Source organism: Homo sapiens, chromosome 9 (assembly GCF_000001405.40).
Source record: "Homo sapiens chromosome 9, GRCh38.p14 Primary Assembly".
NCBI lineage: Eukaryota > Metazoa > Chordata > Mammalia > Primates > Hominidae > Homo > Homo sapiens.
Genome location: NC_000009.12, coordinates 136,815,665 through 136,832,595, shown reverse-complemented (window position 1 = coordinate 136,832,595; position 16,931 = coordinate 136,815,665). Strand labels below are relative to the sequence as shown.

The 16,931-nt window shown below is 57.2% G+C and overlaps 1 protein-coding gene and 1 non-coding gene across 4 annotated transcripts in view, besides 1 other annotated feature; both read right to left on the bottom strand.

Moving 5' to 3' along the window:
• RABL6 (RAB, member RAS oncogene family like 6) overlaps positions 1-16,931 on the bottom strand; it is a 33,240-nt gene that overhangs the window by 8,592 nt on the left and 7,717 nt on the right. For 2 of the 3 annotated variants that reach the window (NM_024718.5, NM_001173989.4), the window contains exons 2-7: positions 8,937-9,071; positions 6,770-6,817; positions 4,050-4,102; positions 3,112-3,203; positions 735-875; positions 226-331 (exon numbers count right to left, since the gene is read on the bottom strand). In NM_024718.5, coding sequence (NP_078994.3) covers positions 226-331; positions 735-875; positions 3,112-3,203; positions 4,050-4,102; positions 6,770-6,817; positions 8,937-9,071 — 575 coding nt within the window. Of the gene's footprint in view, positions 1-225; positions 335-734; positions 876-3,111; positions 3,204-4,049; positions 4,103-6,769; positions 6,818-8,936; positions 9,072-16,931 lie in introns of all 3 variants that reach the window. The other variant, NM_001173988.2, reaches the window with a different exon arrangement.
• On the bottom strand, positions 1,573-1,639 carry MIR4292 (microRNA 4292). Its single transcript, NR_036251.1, has one exon. It is a non-coding gene; the product is annotated as a microRNA 4292 (primary transcript).
• Positions 9,417-10,305: an enhancer, noted in NCBI's record as "H3K4me1 hESC enhancer chr9:139716743-139717631 (GRCh37/hg19 assembly coordinates)". NCBI's record gives its function as "activates a minimal SCP1, AML or CMV promoter by ChIP-STARR-seq in primed H9 embryonic stem cells {active_cell/tissue: H9 hESC(primed)}" and the evidence as "EXISTENCE:reporter gene assay evidence [ECO:0000049][PMID:30033119]".

Here is a 16,931-nt window from a genome sequence, read left to right as displayed (position 1 = left end):
GAGGTGGAGGGGCTCCTGGGACTGGGTCTAGCCCTCAGGACCCTGTACCCTCTGCCACCCAGAGCAGGCAGGTGCAGTAGAACGCTGGGCCCTTGCCAGCAGCCAATCTCCGAGCAGGTCCACAGCTTTCTCAGGGGTTAGGAGGGAGACCCGTTGCTACACAGGAGACACCTGGAAGGAGGTGAGAGACCAGCAGCCACTCCACCCCACGTGGTGAGTGCTTACCTGAAGCTGCAAAAATGGGATATTGAAGAACTTATGAAGGTACTTTAGGCCGAAGCTGTTCTTCATGGAAGACTCAGCATAGCGGAAGTAGGAGGAACCTGGAGGTCTGCTTTCAGAAAGGAAAAAAGATGCAAGAGAAAGACCCTTGCCCTGGTGCCAAGGATCACCCCTGGGCCCACAGCTGTGGGTCCGCACTGCCCTCCCTCCTCCTGCAGGCTCCTGAGGCCACAGGACCCTGCTGAGCCCTGCTAAGCAGCTAAGCCGAGTGCCCTTCTGCAGGTGACCCCACAGTGCCAGCACTTCACCCTGGCACACAGTTCCCCAGCACACAGTTCCCGGCCCTGCCATCGGGGAGACCCAGGCTTCAGTGAGCCCCACTCAGCGGCGAGACCCACATCCGCCGGGCCCCATGCTAACGTTAACCCCTCCCTGGGCCTCTGCCTCAGCACCCTCCCCCGCACACCGGAGCACCGGGCAGGGTCCCTCGGGAGCAGGGCCACCGCACCCACCTGTCCAGGTTGTCGATGAAGTCACGCACGTCGTCCGGCAGGATGACTCGGTGCTCGCCCATGTCCCGGTAGTTTCCCAGCACGCACACTGGCACGTGGGTGGGCACTTTTGGAAGCTCCCGGAGAATGTAATTGAAGGTCCTCGGAGAACAGGTGAGGACCTGGCTTAGTTTCAGCCCTGCGACGCCCTGTCCCTCCCTGGAAAGGTGCTGTGCGCCCAGGCCCGAGGATGGTGGCTGCTTCTCATTTCCAACATCCAACCCAGCAGAAGCATGCCTCGTGCATGCAGAGCTAGAGGGAAGTGCCTCGAGGGCCTTCGCACCCCTCAGCCTGCAGCCCCCGCCCGTCCCTCTCCCTGACGGCAGGTACTTGACCGCACCCCACACTGGAACGCCCCTGCCTGTCCCTGCCTTCCCTCAGAGCACCCCATGTCCGCATCCCTACAAAACCACCTCTGGCTTCATCTGTGTCCACCCTCATTCCGCACTGTCCTCTGTGCCCCTTGGTGTCGACCCTGTGGCTGGTCCTCCAGGCTCCCTGCCCACCGGGGCAGCCGAGGACACCCTGGGGTGCCTCTGCGGCTGCCGGTGAAGCGGGCTGTTTGGAGAGCCTTGTCTTAAGCAGACATCTCCTGGCACGGACGGCAAGTCTCCAGAGTCTGCCTGGCGTGGAACTGCCAGTTTCCCAGCTGCGTGGTTTTCCAAATGGCTTGTGAAGAAATAACCAGCGCTTCAAGTGACAAAACTTCCCCACGACTGAAAGCCAACATAAGGGAGTAAAAAATGCAACATCCTGTTTCTAACTTCATTTTCTTTCATTTACACGCAGTCATTTAAACGGGCCCCTCACCAAGGCCGGCCCAGGGGCACCTCTGGCCTCCTAAGCAGGTGGCCTTCTGGTGTCTCCTGCCTCTCGTGGCTGTGAAGGGCCTGCGTGGTGCTTGAAGCCGCTGTCTGAGCCAGTGTTTTCCATCCTTCCTGCTGGGCACCAGGGGCTCCAGACAGAGCATTGCTACCATAGGCATCGCCTGCCCAGGCTGGTGCTGCCAACAGGGTCTCCGGGCCCACAGGTAAGCGCCTTTGCCGCGTCTTCTCAGGCTGGCTCAAGTCTCGCTGTCACTCCCGCCCACTCCTCGCACGGCAGCCCAGGCGGCTGCAGCTCCCTCCAGGCCGTTCCTGTGGCAGCAGTGGGAGGTGCCGTGGAGGCCACACTGTGTCCACACTCAACTTCGCTTGGGAAAAGCCACTTCCCACCCACCAGGCTGGCCTGCTGCCTAGACAGGAGAGGCCGGAGGGAGAGGAGCACCACTGCTCGCCCAGGTGAGGCCAGCGTGTGCGCCCGAGCTGAACTCGTGCCCTGGGGTGGGGCCGCCAGCCCCGTGTGTGGTTCTCCTGCCATCCGTGTGCCACACCCCCACCGAGGGCTCTCCTGAGGGTGCCTGCGGTCAGTCCTTGGTGGTGGTGCTGAAGGCTGGGAGGGCAGGCATGGTTCCCAGCATTGGCAAAGGTTGGCAGAGGCCCAGAGCATGGCTGGTCAGGTGCTTCAAGCCGCCCTCAGGCCTGGGCTGCTGATGCGTGCTGAGTGTGCGGCCCCGTGACAGGCGGTACGCTTAACCCTGGTGTGGGGGTCTTCCCAAGTAAGAGAAGCTGCTGACTAGGCCCCCAGGCCAGACCCACTGCTGGGAAGAGCAGATGCCTGGACGTGTCGGGCATGCTGCTCCTGGTGCTCCGGGCACTGGCTGTGGCTAGGAGGGGCCCTGCACCAGGACACTGGTCTTCACGCGGCCCTCGTTCTTCTAGGAGCCTTGTGCCAAGTGTGCGTCCGCAGCACCCCCCCGCTGGGGCTCCGGTGCGTCCTGGGGGACACTGCACTCCTGAGGAGCTGAGTGGATCCCATGCGACTCCACAGTGGACTCTGGGGGCTTGCGCCTGGTCCCCCAGAGATCGTCCTGTGTGCCACTGCCCTTAGCTGATTTCGCTGTCATCTTCTTGCTAGAATGAATCTTGGCTGTGGGTCCTCCTAGGTCATGAAGACGGAGGTCGCGGGGAGCCCCCAGCACAAGCAGCCACTTGCTTCCGCCAAGTCTCAGATGGGTTTTCAGGAAGAACAGTGGGGCTATGGAAGGTGCGTGCCTTGCCCCAGATGCCTTTTGCAGCCGGCCCACGCCATCCCGCCCCATAGGCACAGGCATAGTCGTTGCCCAGCCCGACATCCAGGCCAGTGCCCCTTGTGGCTGAGCTGCCACAGCTGCCCAGCAAGAGTCCCTCGGTCCTGCAGAACGATGCTGCTCTAACCATTATCTGCTGCACAAAGAGGGCGCCCAAGGGGCTAGGGGGGTGAGAGTCACAGGCAGCTGCCCCCGCCAGCTCCCTCTTACCACTGCTTGGTAATGTCGAACATCATGACCACCCCGTTGCAGTTCTTGTACACGTCCAGGAACTCAGCATCCAGGGCCATTTCAGACTCCGCCTGGGGACAGGAGGGAACAGGTGTGAGACTGGCCCAGGCTGGGCCCCACCCGTGTGGCCCACAGTTTTAGAAAAGGCTGGATAGTCTTCTAATCTGAAAAGATAACAGCCATTTCCATTTGGAAACGATATGCTGAAGAGATGGGATAGCTAAACATAGGTTTGCCCCAAAGGGTCTGACGGTCAACACCAGCCTCGCTGATGGCTCCCTGAACAAGCCTCCTACCCAGGACCTCCCACTGATCACAGCAGTGTCCGCCCCAGGCCTCACGGATAACCAAACCACCACTCGAAAATAGAAGTGGGTGCTGGACTACCAGCTGCCCTCAGCTAGATGTGCGTTCCGGAAGGTTCCAGTGCCCACAAACAGGGTTAGCTGCAGTGCTGTGGGCAGAGTCACTCCACCCCATGCTCTAAAGGGAGTGGGAGGCACCGCACGGAGAGTGCGAGGCCCTGGGTGTGTCGGGCTCAGGTTGGGTTGGCCCCAGGTGGCTCCGGTGAGCGAAACTCACGCCCATGGCGCTGCGAGATGTGTCCTGTGCTTTGAAGGGCCGAGCCCACCGAGACTGGGATAAAAGTTTGGCGAGTTCACTTAAATACCTCTCAGGTCACTCAAATGCAAATAGGGGTCAGTCCAACGTGATGTCTGTCGAGTGCAGGTGAGCCGGCCACCCCCAGATACAGCCATGGCAGTGTGGGGTTTTCAGAGCAGTTGGGAAGGCCAGCGGCCCCCGTGGCCACAGCATAACTGGGGTGGTTGGGGTCAAAAGCGTGTGAAGCGCTGGGCACCGGCTCACGCACCCCGGGGCCCTGAGCCACTGCTACCCACTGTGTACCTGGCACTCACCTCCTGGGGGTCGTTCTCCATCTTTAAGCCGTCGCCTCGCTTTTTGCATTTTCCTTATTTAAAAACAAACAAAAATTACGAGGTGGAACCCCTGGGCCTTGGGCCATAGGAGGAGCATGGTCCCCCCATGGCCACTCAGCCCCCAGCTCCAGCGGGTGCTCTACTCCACCACCCCAAACAGCCTGCAGCGTGGGCACCCACAAGCTCTGGAGCAGCAGGACCTGGGCGAGGCCCCTCTGTAGGCTCTGGAGGCAGGGCTGGGCCGGGCCTGGACAGGAGGTGCTAGTTGGGGCTGACAGGCTCAGCAGCTCCTGGACAGGCTGCGGTGGGATGGCCTACAGCCCTACACCAGGAGGGTTTGCTGCTGAAGGAAGGGCCCCCTCCCCCCAGCTCCCCCAAGTCCAGGGTGGGAGGAAGTACAAGGGATATGGTGGGAAGGTGAGGGGCCTCCCCCTGGGGTAAAAGTGGGGAGATGAGCGCACGGACTCTCAAGGCAACAACCAGCCCGGGAGGAAAGGAGAGGGGGGCAGGGATTCCAGCCCTGAAATGGCCTCGGGAGGGAGGAGGGCAGCTGTGTGGTGTCCACGGTCCAGGTCCCCCTGAGCCTCCGCCATCAAGGTCACCATGGCTCTCCTGAGAATGAGGGGCCGTGGTCCCCTCCCTTTAACTCCACAATGCTGACCTGAGGATAAAGGCTCCAGACCATCCTGGGAACTCTGGGGGTCCCAGTCTTGGAGTCACGGACTGGGACAACAAACAAAACCCCTAAGAACAGATGGGGCTCATGTGTTTAAAACGCCACGTCCACTTCATTCCACAGCTTGTTTCTGAACTGCTCACCACGATGTAACCCAGTCAGGGGGTCAGCCCCTCCCTCACAAGGTACAGGGGACAGAGCCAGCCCGGAGGAGCCTCCCCAGTCTGGCCACAAAGGGCTCAGCAGAGTCCCCAACACACACACAGCACAGCACTGCTGGCTGTCGGGGGCCTGCACCCAGGAAGGATGCTCACAGCCTAACCAGCACCCCCCGGGCGAGCCATTGAGACTGGCTGGATCTGCTTTGGGGAAAGCAGGCGGGACTGGAGGGGAGCCGGGTCCTGGCTGACCAGGCGGAGGTGAGGATTGTCGGCTCACCTGAGGCTGCTCCATTCAGCCTCCCTCTTGGCAGCCTGCCCCATGCAGCGTCAGCTAAGCCTGATGGCCTCGGCTTCCTCTCACCCTTGAGAACTCACCAGGTGCCCAAGAGACCTCAACCCCCTCCAATGCACTCCCCACCGGCCGCCCTGGCTGCTGTGGACAGTGCTCACACCTCGCACAGTGGGCACTGAGTCAGGGCGGGGATGGAAGGCACACTGGGCCCCATCATGAAGCTGGGGACCTTTTCCTCCTGAGGGGCCCTGGTTTAGGCTGAGTGAGACTCTCCCGGTGGGTGCTAACAGGTGGGTGCAAGGGTACACATGTAACCCCAGAGGAAGCCCAGGGCCAGGCGGCCTCTGCACCCACAGGCCTCCACACCAGCCCCGGGCACAGCAGGCCACCAGGAAGGGGGGGCCCATCCTAAGCCGTGGAGACCACACCCTTTACAGTGCCCAGTTATGAACCCCACTCTGGGCAACCGTGTCTACGGGAAGCCTGTGCCCGCTCCACGCCAAGGACAGACCCAGGAAGCCAGAGCTGGAGGCACAGGAAATCTCTGCAGCTCCGAAAGGGGCCAGGATGGGGGTCAGGACGGCCCTTCCTGAGCCACCTGGGGGCCACAGGCAGATCTGATAGCTTCTCCTCACAGTGGGGATGAGGACAATGATAGGGCGGTGGGTGGCCACCTCTCTAACACCAGAGACCACGCAGAGCTCTGCAGAGACAGCATCTGGAACACCAGGTCAGCACGGGCCACAAGAGTCCAGCGCAATGTGGTGGGAGCCGCAGGGGCCCAGCACCCCTGCGGGAACTGCATGAGCACCTGCCTCTAACCCCCCATGGCCAAACCCACCCCAACAAAGCACAGGTGGAGGGAGGGGAGCATGCGCCATCCGAACAGACACCATCACACAGAGGCGGCGGCCGCCTTTCCAGCAGAGCCTCGTAACGAGGCCACAGCCAGGCCTGTGAGGCCGGGGCGTGCACGTGGCCAGCCCTGCACACACCACACATGCACACGGACCATGGGCCCCGGGGAGGGCCATGAGCTCCACCCTGAGGACTTAGAGGAACTCATGACCTTGTGGCTGAGGAGGAGACCAACGATGTCGAGGACACCCCGGGGGCTGGTGCTGCCCTCCCACGGTCCCCAGAGTGCAGGTCTGTGTGGCTGGGGATCCCTGGCAGGGACAGGAGCGCAGGAGCTGGGTCCTCAGCTATGGGCAGGGGGCCGCCTGGTGCTGGGCTACTCCGCCAGGCAGTGCAGGAGGAGGGCTCCCAAAATAGCACCCTGGGCCTTGGGGCTCAAAGCACACCCCCCGGCTGCACCTGCCGCCACCGTGCACGCGGTCACTCAGAGACGGGGAGTATGCTAAAGCAGCAAAGCATGCAGTGCCACAGGAGGGGCTGCGCCACGCTGCGGGGTCGCCACTGGATGTGGAGGGGAGCAGAGCAGCAAGACCCTGGGCACCGTCCACGAGGATGGTGGGTGATGCATGGGCGCCGGGGGAAAGAAAGGAAGCCTCTCTGCGCAGAGCACACAGTCCCAGAGAGAAGCAGACACAGAACAGAGACGCCTCACCTTTGTCTACTACATCCCAGACTTCAACCTTCACGATGTCATCCGTGGCTGAAACAGGGAGAATCCTAAAATTAGTGCCCAACATGAAGTTCCCAAGGTGGCACAAAGCGGTCCAGCTGGTGTGGTTGTCTGTGCCCCGCAGCCACCGGCTCCCACCAGGACTTCCGAGTGTCCAGAAGCAGGGGATGTGTCCTCCCCAGACGACCACATGGCGGCTCCTTCAGGCCTTCGCTCAGACACAGCTTCAGTGACAAACTGAATGCACGGTATCTCCCTCCGCAGCCCCAATCCTGGGCACGGCCCCTCCCTCCCGGGCCCCGATCCTGGGCACGGCCCCTCCCTCCAGGGCCCCGATCCTGGGCACGGCCCCTCCCTCCCCGGCCCCGATCCTGGGCACGGCCCCTCCCTCCCGGGCCCCGATCCTGGGCACGGCCCCTCCTGGCCTCAGCATACTGGAAGGGGACCCTCCTGGCTGGGTCGATGTCTGTGTTTTTGCCCATGGAGTACGCTTCTGCTGACAGGTGCGAATGAATGGGCCCGCCTGTGTCACCTTCTGACCCTGTTTCTTCATCCAGTGACTGGCCTCTAGTTCACTTTGAGGGAGCAGAATCTAAGTAATCACTGAGGGCGGAGGCCGGACCCTCCCTTCGGAGCCACCTGAGAGGCCCCAGGCCTGCCTCACACCGCACCATCGCAGCTGGGCCTGCTGGTGCCAACCACTCCTCCTGAGCTCCCATGACTGTGCTCTGTTGTGGGGCGTGCTGGGGACTGGGGGAGCTGATGGATGGAGCCTCCCGCCCACCCAAGGATTCCAAGGGGAAGGGAGAACCAGAGGGGAGAGGCACGCCCGGGGCCCTCACACAGCCAGGCATCTGCCCCCACACCAATCACATCCACGTCGCCTGAGCAGAGGGGCATGAACGCTGCCATCAGCCTCACCCCAAACCAGGAAGAGGGTGCGGTGGCAGGTAGAGCTTCTGTGCGCCGGCCCTGTGGGCTCTGTGTCCTGTCAGCCCAGCACCACCCTCCCAGGCCCTAGAGAGCAGCAGATGCCCAGCAACTCCACGGCTGTTCCTGCACAGCAGTCCAAGTGTCAGCTGTCACCACGTGGCAGCTCAAACTCATCTTTGCCTCCCACTAGTAACCCACTAGTTTTTTTTTTTTTGCAGTGAAAAGGAAAGGTGTTTAAAACAGCCCTGGGTGGGAGTGGTGGCTCACGCCTATAATCCCAGCACTTTGGGAGCCCAACGTGGGTGAATCACGTGGTCAGGAGTTCAAGGCCAGCCTGGCCAAGATGGTGAAACCCCGTCTCTACTAAAAATACAAATAATTAGCTGGGTGTGGTGGCGGGCGCCTGTAATCCCAGCTACTCAGGAGGCTGAGGCAGAGAATTGCTTGAACCCGGGAGGCGGAGGTTCCAGTGAGCCGAGATCTCACCACTGCATTCCAGTCTGGGCGACAGTGAGACTCTGTCTCAAAAAAAAAAAAAAAAAAAAAAAACCCAACCAAACCAAAAAACAAACGAACAAACAAACAAAAAAACCAGCCCCAAGGCTTTTTGCTGTCACGATTCTGAACACACAGGGCAGCTGCTCTGCCTCCCACAGCAGGAGCCTCGCCACAGCTGTCACCTCCCCCACCTTCCCGCATCTACCCAGGCCCAGCCCACCCACACCCAATTGAGACCTGGGGGAGGGGTCTATCCCACCATCAAGCCCACCTCACTGAACCTTTTAGTGACACGAACTTTCCACAAGGGCAAGGCTCAAACAAAGGTCTTATTACTGTTTCTGGTGGTGGAGAAGATGTCGGGCTGGGGCCCAAGAAAAAATACCATGTGCACCAAGAGGGTGCAGGCAAGGGAATGCTCCTCGGAATGTACCTCTTTTCAGCCCCCGAGGCGCCCGCGTGCCCACTCACCTGCGGCCAACGCTGCCCCAAGCTGAGCCTCCCAGGTCAGTGGGGCTTCATGAAGCTCACTCAGGCAGCAGGGTGATCCACCCCAAAAGAGCCCCAGAGTTCACGCCAGGGCCCCCACGTCAGCAGGGTCCCTCACAGACAAGAACTCTTCGGGGAGACCCCCTCTGGGGAATGCATCTCCCAGGAACCAGGGCTGAGGGAGGAGAAGCCTGGAGCCCGAACCCACTGGGGCACCCACCACACTTACTCTTGTAGCTCCAGTGGATGCTGGTGACCTGGATCTCCTGTGTGGGGATGTACTCCTCCACGAACGGCCGGCCCTGCAGGCGGTGCCACAGCGCTGTCTTGCCCGTGTTCCTGTCTCCCCGGATCACTATCTTCACTGGGGACGGGAAGAGAAAAAGAAAAGGCAAATTAAACGAACCGAACCCAAGCTGCAGCTTTAAGAGCAACTACAAGGAGAGCCGGTTCTGCTGCCACCTGTTTCATCTTTCTTGCTAGAATCAGACCAGGTGACCGGCAGGCAGGGGAGGAAGACGATGGGTGGGTACCATGGCAACCTCTCCCATCAGGAGGACACCTGGCAGCACACAGAGCATCAACGGCGAACCGGGCCCAGGGGGCAGCTTTCTACTTGGAGCCAGGTCAGGCTTTCTACTTGGAGGACGTGGTTCTGCCCTAGAGCCCACCCCTGGGACCCCTGGTGACCCTCAGGGTCAGGGCCCACCACCTGAGGAGCTCTCCACAGCACCCCAGGCTTCTGCGGATTGCTCCTAACCAGGTTTTCTGCAGCCCTGGAGTCTTTTTTTTTTTTTTTTTGAGACGGAGTCTCGCTTTTTTGCCCAGGCCGTACTGCAGTGGTGCTATCTCGGCTCACTGCAAGCTCCACCTCCCGGGTTCACGCCATTCTCCTGTCTCAGCCTCCCGAGTAGCTGGGACTACAGGCGCCCGCCACCATGTCCAGCTAATTTTTTGTATTTTTAGTAGAGACGGGGTTTCACCGTGTTAGCCAGGGTGGTCTCGATCTCCTGACCTCGTGATCCGCCCGCCTTGGCCTCCCAAAGTGCTGGGATTACAGACGTGAGCCACTGCGAGCCCTGGCGTCTTCAGTGCACAATTCTGCAGAACGCGGGGCCTGCATCCCAGCTCACGCACAACGCGTGTGTGCCGGGTAGCCCCGGGCCTGGGCCTGCTTGCTCCGGGGCTGGGTTGGAGAGGCCACTGCCCAGCTTGTTTTGAAAATGTGATGGGGGAGGGAGGGCAGCTGGGAGGGGAGCACGGACTTAGCAAAGGCGGGAGGTGGCTCAGAACGGGTGGAGATGGGGATGGACCTGGCACCCGACTGGACTAAGAACACCCAGCCTGCGGAGGTGCTGGAAGAACAGGATCGAGAATGACCGAGAAGCTGTGCGGACGCAGCAGCCAGCACTGAGACAGCTGCCCTCGGACCTGGGCAGACCCCGAGAGCTTCTCACACAGGCCTTGGTGAACCCACCACAGGCACGGGGGAGAGAGAAGCCCTGGCCGTCCTCCACGTTTCCAGGAGGGGAGAGCCAGGGAAGCCAGGGAAGGGAGCCGGGTTGGTGGGGAGCAGAGGCAACCAAGGAGCAGGTCTGCAGGCTCCTCCCACTTCCCCAGGTCTCGGGCCTCCCGCCCGCTCCCCCATCTGTGTCAGGTCTGCAGCCTCCTCTCACTCCCGCAACGCCCCCCCCAGGTTTTCTGTCAGGGGGACCCCAAGCTCCCAACGCAGAGGGCGCCCGGCCTCGAAGCTCTGAGGGACCCTGGGCTGTCCCTGTGCCCCACCCGGCTCCTCTCTCCTGGCCCAGTCCCCTCCCTCTACCTCAAGGCACCTGTTCCCACAGTCATTTCTTCTCCCCTGAAGCTTGTTCATTTCCTCGCCCATCCTAGGTACCTCAACGCGCCAACTTTCAACGCCTCTGGTCATATCTCGGCGCCGGCCAGCGCTGCGGCAAAACCTCCAGAGGGGACCCAGGCGCCCTCACGGCCACGGTGGCGGCCGCACCGGCTGGGGGCAGCCAGGAGGCTCCGCGCTTCTCCCGGCCGAGCCCACCCCGCGGAAGGCTGGGCCCTCGTTCCCCTCCCTCTCCCGCGGAGAACTTGGAGAACAGAGGCCGCCTGCAGCGCCCTCCAGCCCGGCGGCCCGGCCTGTGGAGAGCACAGCAGCCCCAAGCGGAGCCGCAGGCGCTCAGCGCAGCCAGGAGGGAGCCAGGCCCCAGCGCGGCGGGAGGCCCGAGACGGGCCGCGGCGCCCTCCCTCCTCCGGCCCGAGGCAGGAACCCGGGCGCGGCCCACAGCTCTGGGCTCAGTCGGGCGGCCGCCGTCCCCCCCAGATGAGCAGCAGCCCGGGCTCGCAGAGACTGCCCGGGCCGCGCACGCATAGCCTCGCTGGGCCCGCGAGAGAACGGCGGCGCCATCCACGTCCGTCCCGCGGCCCCGAGGTCCACGGCCTGAGCGGCGGCCCTGCCTCCCCGCCCCGGCACCGCTCAGGCGGCCCACGCGCTGTGCTTCCCGGTGGTTTCCACATGCGGTGGTCCCGTCTCCGGGTCTTTCCCGGGAGTGGGGCGTTAGCAACGCGGAGAGCGCAGAGACGGTCACAGCGACCGCCCGTTTTCCCGCGGCCAGAACCAACGCGCTGACGTCCCTTGGTCCCCGCATCTCGGCTCCTCAACCCTACGGGACAGAACCCACTTCCTTCATTTTGTAAAAATGGCACATGCTCTTTGTAAGGAACTTAAACAAGGCAGACAAGCACAAGAACCAATGTTAACAAAGCCTCCCAATGCCACTGCCGGAAACCAGCCCTCATGAACGCGGGGAGCTCATTCCAGGCATCTGGCCAGTTTGGCTTCTGCAGAACGTCGGAGAGTTGGGGTCACACAGAATAATTTCTCTCACTCAGCGATACGCACTTAAGGCTCATGCAGGCCTCTCCACGGCTTGAGAACATCTTTTCAGGACTAAATAATGTTCCACCATCTGGATGCACGGAGTTGATCCATTCATCTACTGAAGGACGTCTTGGCCGCACTTTTCCTTGAATTTCCATTGATATTTTTCTCTTTTCGTAATATATATTATTCGGATACTGCAACACCCACACTCAGCCTCTGTTTATTTTTTTCATATCATTTACCAGCTGTCATTTTGCTGTGAGATTTTCCCTTTATTTTCTAAACCTTCCTTTGATTTTATTTTTGCTTTTTAAAAATTATTATTGGCCGGGCACGGTGGCTCACGCCTCTAATCCCAGCACTTTGGGAGGCCGAGGCGGGCGGATCACCTGAGCTCAGGAGTTCGAGACCAGCCTGGACAACATGGAGAAACCCCGTATCTACTAAAAATACAAAATTAGCCGGGTGTGGTGGTGGACACCTGTAATCCCAGCTACTCAGGAGGCTGAGGCAGGAGAATTGCTTAACCCCAGGAGGTGGAGGTTGCAGTGAGCCAAGATCACACCACTGCACTCCAGCCTGGGCAACAGAACAGAACCGTCTCAAAAAAAACAACAAAATTATTTTTACAAACAGGGTCTCACTGTCACCCAGGCTAGAGCCAGCACAGTGGCACCATCCTAGCTCACTGCAGCCTCAATCTCCTGGGCTCAAGTGATCCTCCCACCTTAGCCTCCCAAGTAGCTCAGACTACAGACATCTGCCAGCTAATTTTTTTTTTTTTTTTTTTTTTTTGGAAGATGGAGTCTCACTCTGCCGCACAGGCTGGAGTGCAGTGGTGTGATCTCAGCTAACTGCAACCTCCACCTACTGGATTCCAGTGATTCTCCCATCTCAGCCTCCCAAGTAGCTGGGACTACAGGCGCAAGCCGCCATGCCTAATTTTCTGTATTTTAGTAGAGACAGGGGTTCACCATTTTGCCCGGGCTGGTCTCAAACTCCTGAGCTCAGGCAATCCGCCCATCTTGGCCTCCTAAAGTGCTAGGATTACAGATGTGAGCCACCACCCCATGCCTAGTTTTTTTACTATTTTTTTCTTAGAGACAGGGTCTTGCTTTTTGCCCAAGCTGGTCTCGACCTCCTGGGCTCAAGCAATCCTCCTGCCTTGGCCTCCCAAAGTGCTGGGATTACAGGTATAAGCCACGGCACCAGTGAGGATGGTCCACTTTAATCAATGTTCCTTGAGCCTTCAGGTCCAGAGACTTTCTCTGAGCCTGCGGTAACCCTTCACATTTCTACCCGCTCTCTTTCATTTTGAAGTATATTCTGCATATGGCATCACTGTCGCTGTAGCACTAGGACTATAGCTAGAGCAGCTTTCTTATGGTTAATGTTTACCTAGTGTCTTGTTTCCAACTCCTAACTTTCAACCTTTCGACACCATTATGTTTTGGATGTGTCTCTTATACACCACATAGCCAAATTAAAGAAAAAAAAATTCCTCGAATCTCACATTCTTTCGAGCTGGTGAGTTCTGTTTACTGACAACTGCTGCTGCCATGTTATTTTATGATTTTTAGTTACAGCTCTGGTTCCCTTGCCCCTCCCCCAGCCTTCTATGCCTTTGATTAAAGCTGGACAAGGTGGTTTTCTTTTTTTTTTTTTTTTTTTCTTGAGACGGAGTCTCGTTCTGCTGCCCAGGCTGGAGTGCAGTGGCACCATCTCGGCTCACTGCAAGCTCCGCCTCCCGGGTTCACGCCATTCTCCTGCCTCAGCCTCCCGAGTAGCTGGGACTACAGGCGCCCGCCACCACGCCCGGCTAATTTTTTGTATTTTTATTAGAGACGGGGTTTCACCATGTTAGCCAGGATGGTCTCGATCTCCTGACCTCGTGATCCACTCGCCTTGGCCTCCCAAAGTGCTGGGATTACAGGCGTGAGCCACCGCGCCCGGCCTGGACAAGGTGGTTTTCAGAAAGTATTCTTTCTACCTGGTATTTATTTGGAAGATTTGCAACCTGTTTCTACACTTTGGGAACCCTTAAGTTTTCAACACTCACATCTGCTGCAGTGAAGTCTGAAGTTAACACTTCTTCTTAATAATAATATAGAGATCTGAACGCCTTGACTGTCCAGCTTCACCCTGGGCTGTGTTACTTCTGGTAGTTTCTTCTTTTATATACCCTATATAAATCATGATCACCACTGATTAACATAACCAACGCTTATTCCTTTTCTTTCCTTTTTTTTTTTTGATTAAGTCTCACTCTGTTGCCCAAGCTGGAATGCAATGATGCAGTCTTGGCTCACTGCAACCTCCACCTCCCGGGTTCAAGTGATTCTCCTGTCTCAGCCTCTCGAGTAGCTGAGACTACAGGTACGCACCACCATGCCTGGCTAATTTTTGTATTTTTTTTAGTAGAGATGGGGTCTCACTATGTTGGCCAGGCTGGTCGTGAACTCCTGACCTCGTGATCCACCCACCTTGGCCTCCCAAAGTGTTGGGATTACAGGTGTGAGCCACCGCACCTGACCCACCAACACTTATTTCATTTTCACCACATATTTACCAGTTTCTTTGCTTACCTTTGGTTTTTTTTTTTTTTTTTTTTTTTTTTTTTTTTTTTTTTTTTTGAGACAGAGTCTGGTTTTGTTGCCCAGGCTGGAGTGCAGTGGTGGGATCTCGGCTCACTGCAAGCTCCGTCTCCTGGGTTCACGCCATTCTCCTGCCTCAGCCTCCTAAGTAGCTGGGACTACAGGCGCCCGCCACCACGCCCGTCTAATTTTTTGTATTTTTAGTAGAGACGAGGTTTCACTGTGTTAGCCAGGATGGTCTTGATCTCCTGACCTCGTGATCTGCCCGCCTCGGCCTCCCAAAGTGCTGGGATTACAGGCGTGAGCCACTGTGCCCGTCATTTTTTTTTTTTTTTTTTTTGAGATGGAGTCTTGTTCTGTTGCCCAGGCTGGAGTGCAGCGGCGCGATCTCAGCTCATTCCAACTTGTGCCTCCCGGGTTCACACGATTCTTGTGCCTCGGCCTCCTGAGTAGCTGGGATTACAGGCGCCTGCCCTCATGCCCGGCTAATTTTTGTGTTTTCAGTAGAGACAGCGTTTCACCATGTTGGCCAGGCTGGACTCAAACTCCTGACCTCAAGTGATCCACCTGCCTCAGCCTCGCAAAGTGCTGGAATTAGAAGTGTGAGCCAGCACCCGGCCCCCTTTGCTTTTTGAAATCCACTCCTGTGTTTCGAGCTCAACTCCACCTCTCTGAAGAATAACCTTCAGTATTTATTTCTAAAAGAGCCTTTGCACAGTGAGCCTCAAGCTTCGGCAGAAGTGGAGCCAGTCACACGGCTCTCAAGTGCTCATCAGACAGAGACCTCAGCCCACGTCGGCCTCCCCTCAGCCCACGTCGGCCTCCCCACAGCCCACGTCGGCCTCCCCTCAGCCCACGTCGGCCTCCCCACAGCCCACGTCGGCCTCCCCTCAGCCCACGTCGGCCTCCCCTCAGCCACAGGTTTGCTGCGAGCTGGTCACCAGTCCACTGCATGCTCCTCTCAGGGAAGTCTTTTTGTTCTGGTTGCATCTAAGATGTTTACTTTTTAATGTTTTGAAAATTTCCAATGATGTATCTAGCTGTGGATGTTTTTAAACTCTGGACTTCTTGGAGTTTCCTGTATTTCATGAACTCTGGAAAGTCCTCAGTCTTCCCTTTCTCCTTTCTTGCTCTCTTCTCCTTCTGGAACTTGTACTGGACATGGGCTGGCATCGCCTCCTCCCTGGGCCGCACATCTCTTCCCAACACTGCTCCTCTCTTCAGCTGAGTTAGTGCTGCTTCTCGTGCTGCTTCTCCTGCTGCTGACTGATTTAACGTTAATGACTATGTTTTTCATTTCTAGAGGTTTTCATTCTGTTTCTTTTTCAAACATAAACTGTCTGCTCATGGTTTTTTGTATTTATAATTGACATAATAATTGCACATATCATGGGCATACAGTCTTGACTAGTCTTAAGATTGCTTCCTTTTACATCTTTATCAATTTTAACATACATTTGTTTTCTATTATCTTCACATTTTGAGAATGAAGAGTCTTATTTTCTCTCCCTTGAAATGAAATTTACTCCTTTTAAAAGCTAATTACCCATATACACACCTACTATATGGCCACAAACTCTTTTTTAAAAAAGCTAATTACAAGAAATCCTGTAACATCAGAAATAAGGCAAGTAAAATAATCTGATTTAATTATTTTAAAAAATTACCCCCCCCCCCTTTTTTTTGAGACAGAGTCTCACTCTGTCACCCAGGCTGGAGTGCAGTGGCGCGATCTCGACCCACTGCAACCTCCACCTCCCAGGCTCAAGCAATTCTCCTGCCTCCGCCTCCTGAGTAGCTGGGATTACAGGCATGTGCCCATCACACCCAGCTAATTTTTGTTATTTTTAGTAGAGACAGGGTTTTGCCATGTTGGCCAGGCTGGTCTCAAACTCCTGACCTCAAGTGATCCACCAACCTCGGCCTCCCAAAGTGCTGGGATTACAGGAGTGAGGCACCATGCCCAACTTAACCTCTACTTTTAAGTTAAAAAGTTAGGCTGGTCGCAGTGGCTCTCTCCTGTAATGCCAGCACTTTGGGAGGCCAAGGCAGATGGATCGCTTGGGCCCAGGAGTTTGAGACCAGCCTGGGCAACATGGTGAAACACTGTCTCTACAAAAATTACAAAACTCAGCCAGGCATGGTGGCGTGCACCTGTAGTCCCAGCTACTCAGGAGGCTGAGGTGGGAAGATTGCTTGAGCCAGGGAGGTGAAGGCTGCAGTGAGTCAAGATTGCGCCACTGCACTCCAGTTCAGGCGAAAGAGCAAGACCCTAAATAAATAAAATCAATTTCAGAATCTTTTTTTTCTCCTGCTGGTCCCTTGATCTTGGGTTTTCTTTTTTTCTGCTTAACTTCAGAATCTTAAATGTTGGCTGCAATAAGCTAAGTGATTCTCCTGGAAAACCTTTAGGATTCATCCAAGAAACGCTAAGAAGCCCTGTACTTACCTGTACTTAACCTCATGGTAAACCTGCTCTTTTACTAAACGGGATGTGAACACGACCTCTGTTCTAAGCTTGTTTTAGAAGATACAATGCAGAAAACACAGAGCTCTATTTGAGGCCCTGAGCCTTTCTTACCCTGATTCAATTTAACTCCTTCACATTCCTGCAGCTTTCCTGCAAAATATGGAATAATTTTCTTACATTTTCATACCAAGAAGAGCTTATGATTTATCTCAGATGCATGAAGGTTTAACTCCTAACCAGGCCCTCTCACAGTGCCAGCAGCATCTC